The following is a 13,482-nucleotide window of genomic DNA, read 5'->3' as shown; positions in this document are numbered from 1 at the left end:
TATTCTCCTTAAGACTGATTTTTGTCTCTTCAGCCATTCCACCTCATGTATTGAGATAATAGGGCACCTGGTATCCAGACTTCTTTTCCACCTAATTTTTTTTTTTTTTTTTTTTTTTTTTTGAGATGGAGTGTCTTGCTCTGTCGCCCAGGCTGGAGTACAGTAGTGCGATCTTGGCTCACTGCAACCTCTGCCTCCCGGGTTCAAGCGATTCTCCTGCTTCAGCCTCCTGTGTGGCTGGGATCACAGGCACACACCACCATGCCTGGCTAATTTTTAGCAGAGACAGAGTTTCACCATGTTGGCCAGGCTGGTCTTGAACTCCTGACCTCAAGTTGATCTGCCTGCATCGGCCTCCCAAAGGCCTGGGATTACAGGTGTGAGCCACCGCGCCCAGCCTCCACCTAAATTCTTGACTCTGTTTAAACCCCACATTCTAACGCCTGAGTTCATTCTGTTCAGTCTTCACTCTGTTTCACAGAACAAGGTTGAAGCCATCAACTGAGAATTGAGCTACCTGTGTTAGTGTCCATCTTCTCTTTCTTTCCTTTTTCAGCAGGATGGGGTTCCTCTTCCTAAGGTAGATTCTTCTACCTATGCTCTGAATTCCATCTCCTCCACTTTCCCAGAACCTTTGTTAGTCTCGGCTGTTTGTCCTCTCAGTGGCACCTGACACTGTTGGCTACTCTTTCTTAAAACTCTCTTCTCTTAGACATGATTCCACAGTATTCTGGTTTTCCTCTTTATTCTTTGGTTGTTTTTACTAACAAAGGCTATCTTTACCATCTGACCTTTAAATATAACTGTTCCTTTAGGCTTGGCCCTAGGCTCTTTTCTCATATTACATTTTTTTCCCTAGGCAACTTGAGCCACACCTGTGACTTCAACAATCATCTGTGTATTAATAATGCCCCTGTTTTTAAAGACCAGACCTATTTTTTATAATATTCTTGACCTTTATTGCTGTTTCCCAGCTATATTAATACATTTCCAAAACTGAACTTAGGAATTCTAACCTCTGCTTCAACCCACCAACAAAAAGTGAAATATCTGGCTTTCCTCCAGTGTTTCTTATTTCAGTGATAAGCACTGCAGTCTGCTGTGTTACCCAGGCCTGAAATTTGAGTCCTTCTTGACATCTCTCTCTCCCCCACTCCTAATATTTAACCATTAGTCCTATTGAGCTTACAAAGCCCCTCTTATTTGTCTCAATTTCATTCACTTGTTATCATGATACTTTTACCACTCTAGATCAAGCCACCATCATCTCTTCTCTAACAGTCTAATTGATCTTCTGTCTGCTCTTATCCTCTTATAATTTATTATCCATGCTGTAGCCAGAATGATTTTATAAAAATTTAATGTCACCCTGCTCATTAAAAATATTCAGTAGTTTCCCATAGCTCTTGGGATAAATAACAGAATCTTTTAAATAACTAACAAGGCCCAAATGATCTGGCCCCTACCTGTGCCTAGCCCCATCTAGCACATACACCTTCTTTCCTCGGTATCTGCACTTTAACCACTTTTTTCCATTTTTTATATTCACCATTCTGCTTCCCATGCTTGTATATACAGCATTTTCCAGCTTCTTTTCTCCTTCACCTAGCTAACTGCTACATAACCTTTAGATTTCAGTTTAAATGTCTGCTCCTTAAAGACGCCTTCTCACAAATACCACAACCACCATGATCACCCCCCCATACCACACACACACACGATTTGGAAGTTCCCATTTTGTTCTTCATTATATGTAACAAGTTTTACTTAAATAATTGAGTAATTAGAGTTCATCTTTCTTTCTAGAATACAAGCTCCTAAGCTCAAAGCAGACTGTGTTTATGTCTATCACTGCCTTATCCTCAAACCTAGCACAGTGCTTTAAACTTAGTATGTGCTAAATAAATATTGCATGTTTTCCTATAGTGATTAGCAGTAAAAATTCAGATGAAGGGGAACCATATGAATTTGTTTTTGGGGACAGCAAGAAGGGAGCTCAGAGACAGTCTCATTCCAAATCAAGGCTTGATGGGAGAGGAAGTCCCAAGGATAGTTACCAAAGAAAAGGAAGGCTGGCCTCATTCCAGACACCTGTGGCAGAGAACAAATGAGATAATAGGGATCACAGGATATAACCTAAATGTCTAAAATGGCAGTCAATCAATAGCATCATGTATTTTTATAGAGTTATTGAAAATCACACTTTTGAAGGATAGTAACTTGGGAAAATAACTCATGATGTAAGCTTAAGTGCATGTAACAGTTCATATAAAGTTGCATATACAAGAAAACTAGGAAACTGTAAGGGACAGGAGTAATGGTCAAAAGTCAGTTGTCACCAAGAAATCAAGCAGAATCCTCTGATTTACTGATAAAGCAGTCATTTGTAGCTTTATCCAGAACACTTTCAGTGGTATGATGAAGTAGAAGTCATATTGTAGTATTTATGAGAAAGTAGATGTAGCAAAGAGAGATAATGTTTTTCATTCGTTTATTTAACATTTATTGTGTTGCCCATTATAAACAAAACACTGTGGTAGGCTTTGGGGAGATACAGCAACAAGTATAACATAGCTATATCCTATTCTTATTAGCCTGTATTCTAGGATTCATTTATTTACTTATTTATTTGCTATAAAGGAGAGAGAGTATTTTTTTTTCTTTTTTCTTTTTCTTTTTTTTTTTTTGAGACAGAATCTCACTCTGTCACCCAGGCTGGAGTGCAGTGGCACGATCTCGGCTCACTGCAGCCTCTTTCTCCAAGGTTCAAGTGATTCTCCTGCTTCAGCCTCCCGAGTAGCTGGGATTACAGGCGTGTGCCACAACGCCCAAATAATTTTTGTATTTTTAGTAGAGATGGGGTTTTGCCATGTTGGCCAGGCTTGTCTCAAACCCCTGACCTCAGGTGATCCACCCACCTCGGCCTCCCAAAGTGCTAGGTTTACAGGCATCAGCCACTGTGTCTGGCCAAGAGAGAGGATTATAACTGCTGAAGGGGTTATGTGGTTGAGAGAGGGTTATTATTTATTTTTTAAAGATTTGAGCATATTTAAATGCTGATAGGAAAGAACAGATAGAGAAGGAGAGTTAATGATACAAAATGGAGAAAGATTAATTTAAAGCACAAAATTACTGAAACGTTATATAAGCATGGGGTTTAGAATTTGAGTTGCAAGAGCTGTAGATGAGAGAGCGGAATCTTCTTGCGTTATAACAAGAGAAAAAGATGGATTCTGATGGAGCTGAATTTGGAGGTTTGGTGGCAAAAAGTTGAGGGAGTTCTGATCTGATGAATTCCATTTTCTCCGAGAAGGAGGAGACAAAATTGAGACTAAGGGCAGAAATAGTAGCAGTTTAGAGAAATCTGGAACATTTGAAATAGCTGCCATGGGGAATGGAAGAAACTGTTGAAAGGAAAGCAGTTTGTTGGGAGTGTTGAGGTTTTTGACCTTGAATTTACTTACAATGGCACCAATCTGTGAGACTTGTGATCTTCTCCAACACCAATCCATGTGCTAGAGACTGGGACAGCAAAGAATTATAATCGAAATCACATCGTACTGGGGTTTTGCCAGGTAAGTTCAGTGGATTCCAGCAAGTAACCACTTGACCTGATGAATCATGGAGTCTTAAGCTAGGACGGGCAGGAAGGAAGTAAAGCCAGTCGGGGGCTAATAATTCAGTGCCTAGCATATAGATACTCAGTTAATGTTTGTAGATCAGGAAAAAATGAAGCCATTTGTGAACTGATTGTCCCAACATGTTCCAGATAGCAAAAAAGGGATAAATTGGGGATCATAAGGTAGAATGTCTGAATTTATTTCTTTAGAAGTAGAGCATTTCTGAGTGTGATTATGAGAGTGGAAAAGGTTATTGGAGGTAAGAAAGAGAAATATATAGTGAAGTCACTAGGCTGACGCAGGTCTTGGGTTGGAAAGGAAGACTGAACTGTATGCTAAATTACTCAGTGACTAAGGGATGGCGACAAAGAGGATGGGGATGGTGAGCAGAATGGTCTTAATCTCAGAGTAGCAGAGCTTTTTGCACAGGACACCAGCCCCACCTGACAGAACTGTCCGGGGGTACAGTAGAGAGTTAAACATTCATTGGAAGGAGCTGAAGAAAAGACTATGTCCTTTGAGGGGAGCCTAGTTTCAGTTAAGCCTGGAAGGGGAAAATAACCATTCCTTGAAGAGATAGAGGATATAGAGACTACAGTGGAAAGGTTTGGACAGAGAAGCTGTAGGAAGCTGATTCTAGAAAGGGAACATAGAATTTGGAGATAGAGTATGGGAGAAGGCAGATAACAGATGACTGAAAAGCTTACTAAATTTTGTTCTTGGATTGTTCTTAATGTGAATGGTAGTTACACATTTTCAATTGTTTTTCTTCCACAGTCAGTGGGAAGACACTATAAGATAAATAGAGGTTACAACTTAAAGTTGTATGGTTGCAAGTTGTCAGAAAAAAAAAAAATTAAAAAAATCTCAAACTCAAACTGCCCACAAAAGTAAAAGGAAACAAAATAGTATCCTAAAGAAAGAAAAAGTATTTTAATGAATCAACAAAATGAAATAAAAGGATAAAGGCAAAATTAAATCCTTAAATATATGCCATATAATTAAGTTGTATTAACGTATTCTAAATTCTGATTTAAGAATTACTCCTAGGAAAATTGCCACCACACTATTCGTGTTTACTGTATTTCTTTCCAGCTGGTTACTTTAGAAAATAATTCATTTATGTTCTGTGGGAGAATCTCCCATAGTATATTGAAAGTTATCCCAAAGTTTAAAATTATACTTACGTGACTATAATATGCATCTGTGACCATGGAAAGCCAGGGAACATCCATGCAAATTACACAATTCTCTTGTAAGTTATACCTTTCTTTAAAGAGGATTGTTTGTCTTCAAGTACTTTAAAGCACAAAATTATCTTTCGGATGTGTGGCATAGTTTTTTATGTTGCCCCTGTGATTATTCTAACAAATTCTGCCATGTCTTAAAATAATATATGTGAGATCAATTGGCAAGTTACCTATTTATATTGGGGGTGGAGGAATGGTAGAGATAGTGATACATCTTGGGAAGTAAATGTTTCTTAAAGGAATGATTTTATATTCAATTCCTGATCGATTTTTTTTAATCTAAAACTCTTACTATGATTCAGTTTGCATGAATACTTACCACTGACAAAGTACAGAAAGGGAATATAATGAAAGTTTTATGAACATTTAAGTTGCTTAGTGTTTTTAAGTCACTCCATTCATTCTATTAAGTCTGTTCTGTTATTTATTTATTGTACAAACTATTCTAATGCTATAGTAACAAACAGATTTCTCAAAAAATAGAGAAGTCCTACAGACATCACAATATTTTCATGTATTTGTGCTCTTCTAGTACTAGTCCATTAGACAAACATTTCTCTGCAGCCGTCACAACTTACTTGCAATTATTTCTTCTCCCTTTCTCCCTTAATATTGCTGGTATATCTTCATATTGATCATTTTGTATGGCTGTATAATATTTCATCAAATAATGTATTGTAATTTATGGATTCTCCTAGTTTTGGAATTTAAGTTGTTTTAATCTTACCTGCTTCAAAAATTTTGTTTTCACCCAAGTCCAGAAAAAAAAAAAATTAGCAACACAACATTAAGTCCATTTTACCATATTACTTTAGGTTTATAACCTAAGACCCAAAGTCATTGTGGAGAAATGTGCCTGGAGAGATGTACAAATACCACTTGCCTTTTCTGTCCGTGGTTAAAAGTAGTCTATAGGTGGGAACTGAACAATGAGAACACACGGACACAGGAAGGGGAACATCACACTCTGGGGACTGTTGTGGGGTGGGGGGGAGGGGGGAGGGATAGCATTAGGAGATATACCTAATGCTAAATGACGAGTTAATGGGTGCAGCACACCAGCATGGCACATGTATACATATGTAACTAACCTGCACATTGTGCACATGTACCCTAAAACTTAAGGTATAATAATAATAAAATGAAGTTTAAAAAAAAAAGTAGTCTATTATATCCGTTTCCTTTCTATGGTCCTCTAAATAAGATCTTTTCAATCAGTATCACGATTTTTTAAAAACCATGTGTTGGCTGGGCGCGGTGGCTCACGCCTGTGATCCTAGCACTTTGGGAGGCCAAGGCGGGCAGATCACCTGAGGTCAGGAGTTCGAGACCAGCCTGGCCAACATGATGAAACTCCATCTCTACTAAAACTACAAAAATTAGCCAGGCGTGTTGGCACATGCCTGTACCTTCAGCTACTTGAGAGGCTGAGGCAGGAGAATTGCTTGAACCGGGGAGGTGGAGGTTGCAGTGAGCCGAGATCATGCTATTGCACTCCAGCCTGGGCGACAGAGCAAGACTCCATCTCAAAACAAACAAAAAGAATCATGTGTCAAAAGTACTTTGGTGCCCATAAATTTGGGTGTTTCTAGAGTTGAACGAAAGAAAAACATATAAAATAACTTTATGATTTAATAACCATACTTTTTGCGTCTTTATGCAAAAGATTTTTTTTAAACTTTTTAGTTCTGCAGTATTGTTTTGGCAGTTTTATACCATTTGGAAAGGCTTAGTATTCTTCAGAGGCACTGTTACAATGAAGCAAGTTATTCTTCAGTCCAACATTAGGTACCACAATAGCCATAGCATCTCTTTTTAGCTATTTTTAAATGTGTTTTCATAAGCAGTATCTATAGTTTCCCATTCCACATTTTAAAAAATATTTGATATGTCAGTCATTTGCTTAGAAACTTTTTTAGAAAGTATATTGCAAAATGATAGACAAAAACATTAATTGATGATGGTTTAATAAATAAGAGCATGCAATTAGTGAATCTTTAAAAGGCTGTTCTCACATGGATGATTATTTTTGCAGAATTGAATACTTAAGGCTTTAATTTTATACTTATTGCTAGATCATTATATCCAATTATTTTGACCATTTATTCAAATAATAAACCAAGTCTGAATATTTATAGTGAAGAATGAGTTTTGTGAAAGGAGAATAATTATATGTCTCTCTCTCTGCTATTTTATTCTGCCTGCCATCAGAGTACAAAAATATACATTCACATCATCTGTTTGTTGTATCATATTCTTGGATCATACAGATTTAGTTACAATACACACACAGGTCAGCCAGCGTTAAAAGACTGAAAAGAATGAAAACTATAAATGAGGACAGATGAGCTATGCATTATGTAATGACAAAACAGGTGTCTCGGAAGATAAACAATGTTCAGAAGCAAAGAAGATTTAAATACTTTTGAATCTCTAATTACTTTATTCTGGTTATTAGACAAAGCAAATAGCTTTCAAATGAAGTCTAAACTTTCTGTAGTACAATTGAAGTACATAATGTTGAATAGCTCTAGCTTCGTTTACTTTTTTTTAGAAAGGCAAACTTCGTGCATGGCAAAAAAAAAAAAAAATTAAAATATTGTGTTCCTAATAACATTTTAAAGAATTAATGTCAGTCCTATCAGGGTGCATTTGATAGCACTATAGGATTTTTAGCATTAGTCATGAATTATTTTGCATGTGCTTTCCAGAATCATACAAAGCTGAGCAATCTAGGGGTGAGAATGCTAACATATTATCTGTTTTTGTTTTTAGGACGGTGAACTTTGACATAATAAAATACTTGTATGATTTCTTGTGAAAACAAGCTTCAAAGCCATATGGACACTGTGACAATGACTAAGCCAAGCTGTGTTCATCCAGCTACTTAGCTGGCCAAGGAGAGGAGTTCTTTGGCTCTATTGGATTTGTCCAAACAGGTGCTGGCCCAGCATGGAATCTGATGAAAATATTCTGATTGGTCTGGGTGGATGTGAGCAGAAGACTATTTACCAGGGACCCTGGAGTATTTGGAAGCAACGTGTTAATTATAAACAGCAGGGTTTGAGCACAATCTGTTCTACTCTTAATGATGTTATCTTAACACTGAAATTGCCTGAAACCCATTTACTTAGGACTACATTTTGCTCTGTGAACTATCCCCTGCGCTTTGAACGTGCCAGCAGCCCTTGTTTATATGCCCATTCTTTTCACTTCCTCTCCACAGGAGCCTCTGCAGTCGCTTGCCAAAGCAGATTTTCCTAAGGCCACTGTTTTAAAAGATCATAGTTGCAAAATATAATAAATACAAGTTCTTTTTAAAATCCAAGCTTGTGTGTATTTATCTTTTCACTTGCTTTTCTCAAAAGGCAAGGTAGTTTGATCAGAAACAGACCAACTTTCCCTCTTTCAGCCTACTTGATAACTGTGGTATGCTTGTATAAGGTTTATCTGGTCACTTTCTTAAAATTAGCTACCCAACCCAGTTTTTTTTTTTTTTATCAGTATCATGGTTTTATTTTCTTTCTTTCTCTTTTTTAAAATCACTGGCCTTTAAGAGTTCCACAATAATTTTTTTTCCTGTTATATCACTTGTGAACTTTGGTTTTGATTTTCTTGTCCATATTTTTGAAGAAATTTTCTTTTAGCATTTGAATGCTTGAAAATTATTTTAAGCAGACTTAAAGTTCTTAGTTATAGAACCTAGTGTAAATTTCAGTGGCATTTTATTTCTTCATTTTTTTTGAAGAAAAATTCTCACGATAGGCACTTTTAGTGTAACTATCTGGTTCAAAGAAAGCAAGTAATTATCTACTATTTAGAGGTAATGAGTTAGGGAGAAAAGGAATGGAATTCCTTTCGCCTCCCTACATAAATAAGACAGACTTTCTTGCCTGAAGATTGACATCCACAGCAAGTGATAGAGCATCCCCACTGTAAATCTCTTGTCCCACAGAAAATGAAGTTTGTGTTTCACAAGATGTTTGGAGATGCCAGGGTCAGAGAAAAGCCATGCGTAGTGTGGATTCTGGCTTAGTTTCCAGCATGTAGAAATCCATGTCATCAAGCTGTAGAAAACAATTTGGGTAGCTGATTGAAGGAAGAGCAACACCACCTAGGATAGCTTTCAGCCCCTCATATTTGTTTTGCAGATGCATGTCTGCTGTGCAGCCTGTCACGGATAAGCGGAACCAGTCTGTATTTTGAGGGAAGAACTCTGGGATATCAGGAGGGGAGAAATTATCAAATAGGAAACTGGAGAGAAGGATGGAAAGGAGGTGAAGTTTCCTATAAGTGACTGTCCATGCATCCTCACAGCTGGTCACCTGTCTCCTGCCCGGTGCATTTCCTCTCCTGTACTGCCCCACCTTGTTACCAGCCCCAGATGTGGCTTCCCGGCATAACACTAACCAGATTTTCCCTGCCCCTGACTGGGTCATCAGAACTTTCCTGTTTTGTAATTTACTTTCTAATGGCTTGCTAAATGACTCAGCAGCTAATTTGATTAATTTATTTAGATGAATACTAACAGAGCTTAATATGGATGTTGGCATTTTAACAAGGGTCATCTGCAAGTGGAATTCTCTAATTGGAAGATATGAATCTCCAATTACAGGAGGGAATCCAATAATGAGAATTAGGCTGGCCGGCGGGCCAGAAATTTCTGTTAAGAGGAGGCACTTAAATTATACTCAGCATCTACTCTACCTAGGTGTAAAAGTAATTTAGGTGGTAGCAGAAGAAAGTTACTAAGCTGTAGGTTTTTAGACTATACATAGGTGGTCCTCCATTTTACAAATGTCTTCTTTCAATTACCGTGAGCCAGGTATACATAGGTGGAGACCTTACTCCCTCTTCCCTCTTACTTTCAAGTCATTTTCAAGCCCATTTCAAGCTTTCGTTGATGCAGCAATTCCTTTCAACAACTCTGGAAGAGATTGTGATCTACCAAGCCTCATCTCATTAGTCATAAAGGGGTCAAAGTCTTGATACCAAGATAGCAGTTGAGACTCCAGGCTCTGGAATCCTTGGATCAAATACCAGCTGTATTGCTACTGGCTGTCTGGCCTTAGGCAAGTTATTTAATGTGTCTCTGTGACTTTCTCACCTGTATAGTGGAAAGTAGAATTTACTTCGTAGCATTTTTACAGGATTAAATAAATGAATATATCTAAGGCAGTAGTTCTCAACTAGGGACATTTTGCCCGCCGGCAAACGTAGTCATTTCTGGAGACAGTTTTGGTTGTCACAACTGGGTGTGGGGAGGGTAAAGGCCAGGGATGCTGCTAAATACAGTAGTCCCCACTTACCCATGATACTGCTTTCCTTGAGTTCAGTTACTGTCCGTCATCCTCAGACTGTGGTCTGAAAATATTAAATGGAAAACACCAGAAATACAGTAGTCCCCACTTACCCATGATACTGCTTTCCTTGAGTTCAGTTACTGTCCGTCATCCTCAGACTGTGGTCTGAAAATATTAAATGGAAAACACCAGAAATACAGTAGTCCCCACTTACCCATGATACTGCTTTCCTTGAGTTCAGTTACTGTCTGTCATCCTCAGACTGTGGTCTGAAAATATTAAATGGAAAACACCAGAAATAAACAGCTCATAAGTTTTAAACTGCATGCTTTTCTGAGTAGTGTGACGAACTCTCATGCTGTCCCGCCTAGGATGTGAATCATCCCTTTGCCCAGCCTGTCCATGCTGTCCATACTACCCACCGGTGAGTTGCTTAGTAGTTGTCTAGGTTATCAGATTGACTCTTGCAGTATCTCAGGGCTTGCATTCAAGTAACTCTTATTTTACTTAATGGCCCCAAAGTGCAAGAGTAGTCATGCTGGCAATTTGGATATGTCAAAGAGAAGCTGTAAAGTGCTTCCTTTAAGTGAAAAGGTGTAAGTTCTCAATAAGGAAAGAAAAACATCATATGCTGAAGTTGCTAAGAATGTGGTAAGAATGAATCTTCTATCTGTGAAATTGTAAAGAAGAAAAAAAATTCATGCTAGTTTTGCTGTTGTACCTCAAACTGCAAGAGTTGTGGCCACAGTGCATGATAAGTGCTTAGTTAAGATGGAAAAGGCAGAAGATGTGAACCGAAATGTGTTCAAATTATGGTAATCAGGTTCAGGACTGTTAGAGGGTTTAGCCATCCACTGGAGGTCTTGGAACTTATTGCCCCTGTGGATAAAGGGGGACTACTGTATACTAAAATTAATATCCTATAACAGAATAATCTGACCCTCAAATGTCACTTGTGCAGAGGTTGAGAAACCCTGATCTAAGTAAGGTACCTGGCACAGAGTAATTGTTCAATAAAGCTATTATTATCCTGAAATGTGTCTTTGTGGGCTAGAAAGGAGGTAAATGAGGGAATGTGACATTCTTACTAGAAAGAGGCACATCCCTTTTTTACTGTAATCTTACCTCATACCTAGAAAAATTATTTCTTGTTTAAATTTTGGAGTTACTCAAATGGAAACAATACCTTGGATTTTAATTTTTAAAATTGAAGTGTTATCTACTGGGTTCCAATCCGTACACAGATTTCATTACTTATTTTTCAATATCCTGTGGGATAGGTCAAAATTATAGCTGAGAATTATCAAATCAGAGAGCAGGTGACTGAGGACTTACATTTTTTTCCCTCAAGGTGTACTGGCTGAACAATTAGTGGTATACCTCCAACAGATTTAGTTAACCAACAACTGATTAATGTAATTAAGATGGTCTGGAGCATGAAAAACTCAGACTGTAAGAAGCCCACTCAGTCTCTCCAAAGTATGCATCACTCTGCTTGTACATTCCAAAGAAAAGTCAGGGACCAAGTCCAGGAATAATGCATCTCCTATCACATTAAGTACTCAATAAGTATCAAAAATAGCAGATGAAATTCAGAAACTGTCTCATGTGTAATAGTGTCCTCCATTGCTACCTGAATTCTCACACTATTGTGTACTATAATTGTTTGCATTTTGTGCCTTTAGCCATAGGCAGAAGCTTGGATTGGAGTTAATTTGACCAGAGGTTGATATTATTCAGCTTCATCTCCTACATTTAGAAAGCTTCATCTACTACAAAGTGTGGCTGCCTAACATGTGAATAGTTTAGATAATTTCGCATGTAATTTCACTCTGCTATCACACTTTGCTTTCAAAAATGCTTAGTAGAGCTCAACAAAATCTTTCCTATAAAGATAACAACATTTCACTCAAGTTTGTCATTAAATGCCCTGAATACACAGTTAATGTTCATTTTCCAGCAGTGGCACACATTCATGAGACACAGTATGAGAAGTAGAAATTTGGTAGAGCAGAGAAAATTATAATCAATTCATTCATAACTGCATGTTGATGCACAGTAATGATGGGAATTTTAGAAAGCATTCAACTGTTCGAGTAAATAGTCGTAGCTTTGGCATGTTGGAAAGAGCCTGGGTTTTAGAGGATTGGAGATTTGCTTGGGTTTTAGATAAACCGTAATCCATTTCATTTTTCTTTCAAGGAGTTGAGGGTTCGATTTAATGGCGGTTTCCCTAAAAGTGTTTAATTCAACAGATTCTAAATACTAGTTATGTGCCAGGCATTGTGTTAGGTGAATGGGATACATGAGTTATACAGAATGAGAGAGTTTCTGGCCTGGATAATAGGTACTACCAGCATTGGTAGAGTCATTCTCTGAAATAGAAAATCTTGGGGGAGGACTAGGCCTGTAGGGGTGGAGAAGATTATGAGTTCAGTTGCCATTAAAGTGCTTGTGAGAAATCCAAGTGGAAATGTGAAACAGGTAGTTGGATCTAGACTGGAGATCAGAGTTGCTGCAAGTATAAATGTAGGCATCATGAGGATAGAGATGGTTATTTGGTGATTTGGAGGTCTTAATTCTTACAGTAGTATCCATCACATGGTGAGGGAGAAACCATGTTGAAGTGAGTTTAGGAAAATATATAGAAAGTGATCATCACCATTGTTTGTCAAGAACTACAAGTTGTATTTTTTTTCAAATAACAGTTCTCCACTGTTCGTATAACCCTGATTCTCCTCAGCAAGTGAAGTGGCAGTAACGAGACATGGCTAGATCTTATTTAGTATCTAGCTCAGGAAGGAAAAATCAAACCCTCTTAGAGTCTTAATTCTATGGAGAATGTTAGATCACATGGGCTTTCTATGTGCTCTCTCTACTTCCTCATGGCATGGTGACTAGGTTCTAACGCAAGCATCCCAAGAGAAACAGCAGATGCTGCATGGCCTTTTCTAACCTAGCCTCAGAAGTCACAGAGCATCACTTTTGTACCATTCTGTTTGTTGAGGCAGGGATAAAGGCCTGCCTATACTTAACAGGAAGGGAATTAGACCCACTTGATATTAAAGAACTTGGAGACAGGCTTTAAATCACCACACAGAACATAGTAGGCTGAAAATAATACTATGGGATGCAGACGGAATATATTTTATGTCATCTCAAAATTTGAATTGGTATGGCAGAGACTGCTTATTGTCCATGCCTATGCTTCCCCCAAGTATCTTGCCTATCTGCTTCCAAAACACAGGAACTCTGACTGCAAGAAGGCCAATGTGATCAGAACACAGGAAACAAGGGTAATTGTGGTAG

At 38.0% G+C, this 13,482-nt stretch overlaps 1 protein-coding gene across 1 annotated transcript in view, besides 1 other annotated feature; it reads left to right on the top strand.

The window, feature by feature from the left end:
* Window positions 1-8,198, top strand: part of ORC5 (origin recognition complex subunit 5) — an 81,673-nt gene extending 73,475 nt beyond the window's left edge. Inside the window, exon 14 of the mRNA NM_002553.4 lies at window positions 7,646-8,198. Coding sequence (NP_002544.1) covers window positions 7,646-7,691 — 46 coding nt within the window. The 3' untranslated portion in view covers window positions 7,692-8,198. The remainder of the gene's footprint in view (window positions 1-7,645) is intronic.
* Window positions 9,107-9,270: a silencer, noted in NCBI's record as "fragment chr7:103765716-103765879 (GRCh37/hg19 assembly coordinates)". NCBI's record gives its function as "represses an EF-1alpha promoter that drives an FKBP-Casp9 reporter gene in an ReSE screen in K562 erythroleukemia cells {active_cell/tissue: K562}" and the evidence as "EXISTENCE:reporter gene assay evidence [ECO:0000049][PMID:32094911]".

The sequence above is a fragment of the Homo sapiens genome, chromosome 7 (assembly GCF_000001405.40).
Source record: "Homo sapiens chromosome 7, GRCh38.p14 Primary Assembly".
Classification (NCBI taxonomy): Eukaryota; Metazoa; Chordata; class Mammalia; order Primates; family Hominidae; genus Homo; species Homo sapiens.
Note: the sequence above shows the minus strand (reverse complement) of the source record. Positions and strands in the feature narration are given on the sequence as shown.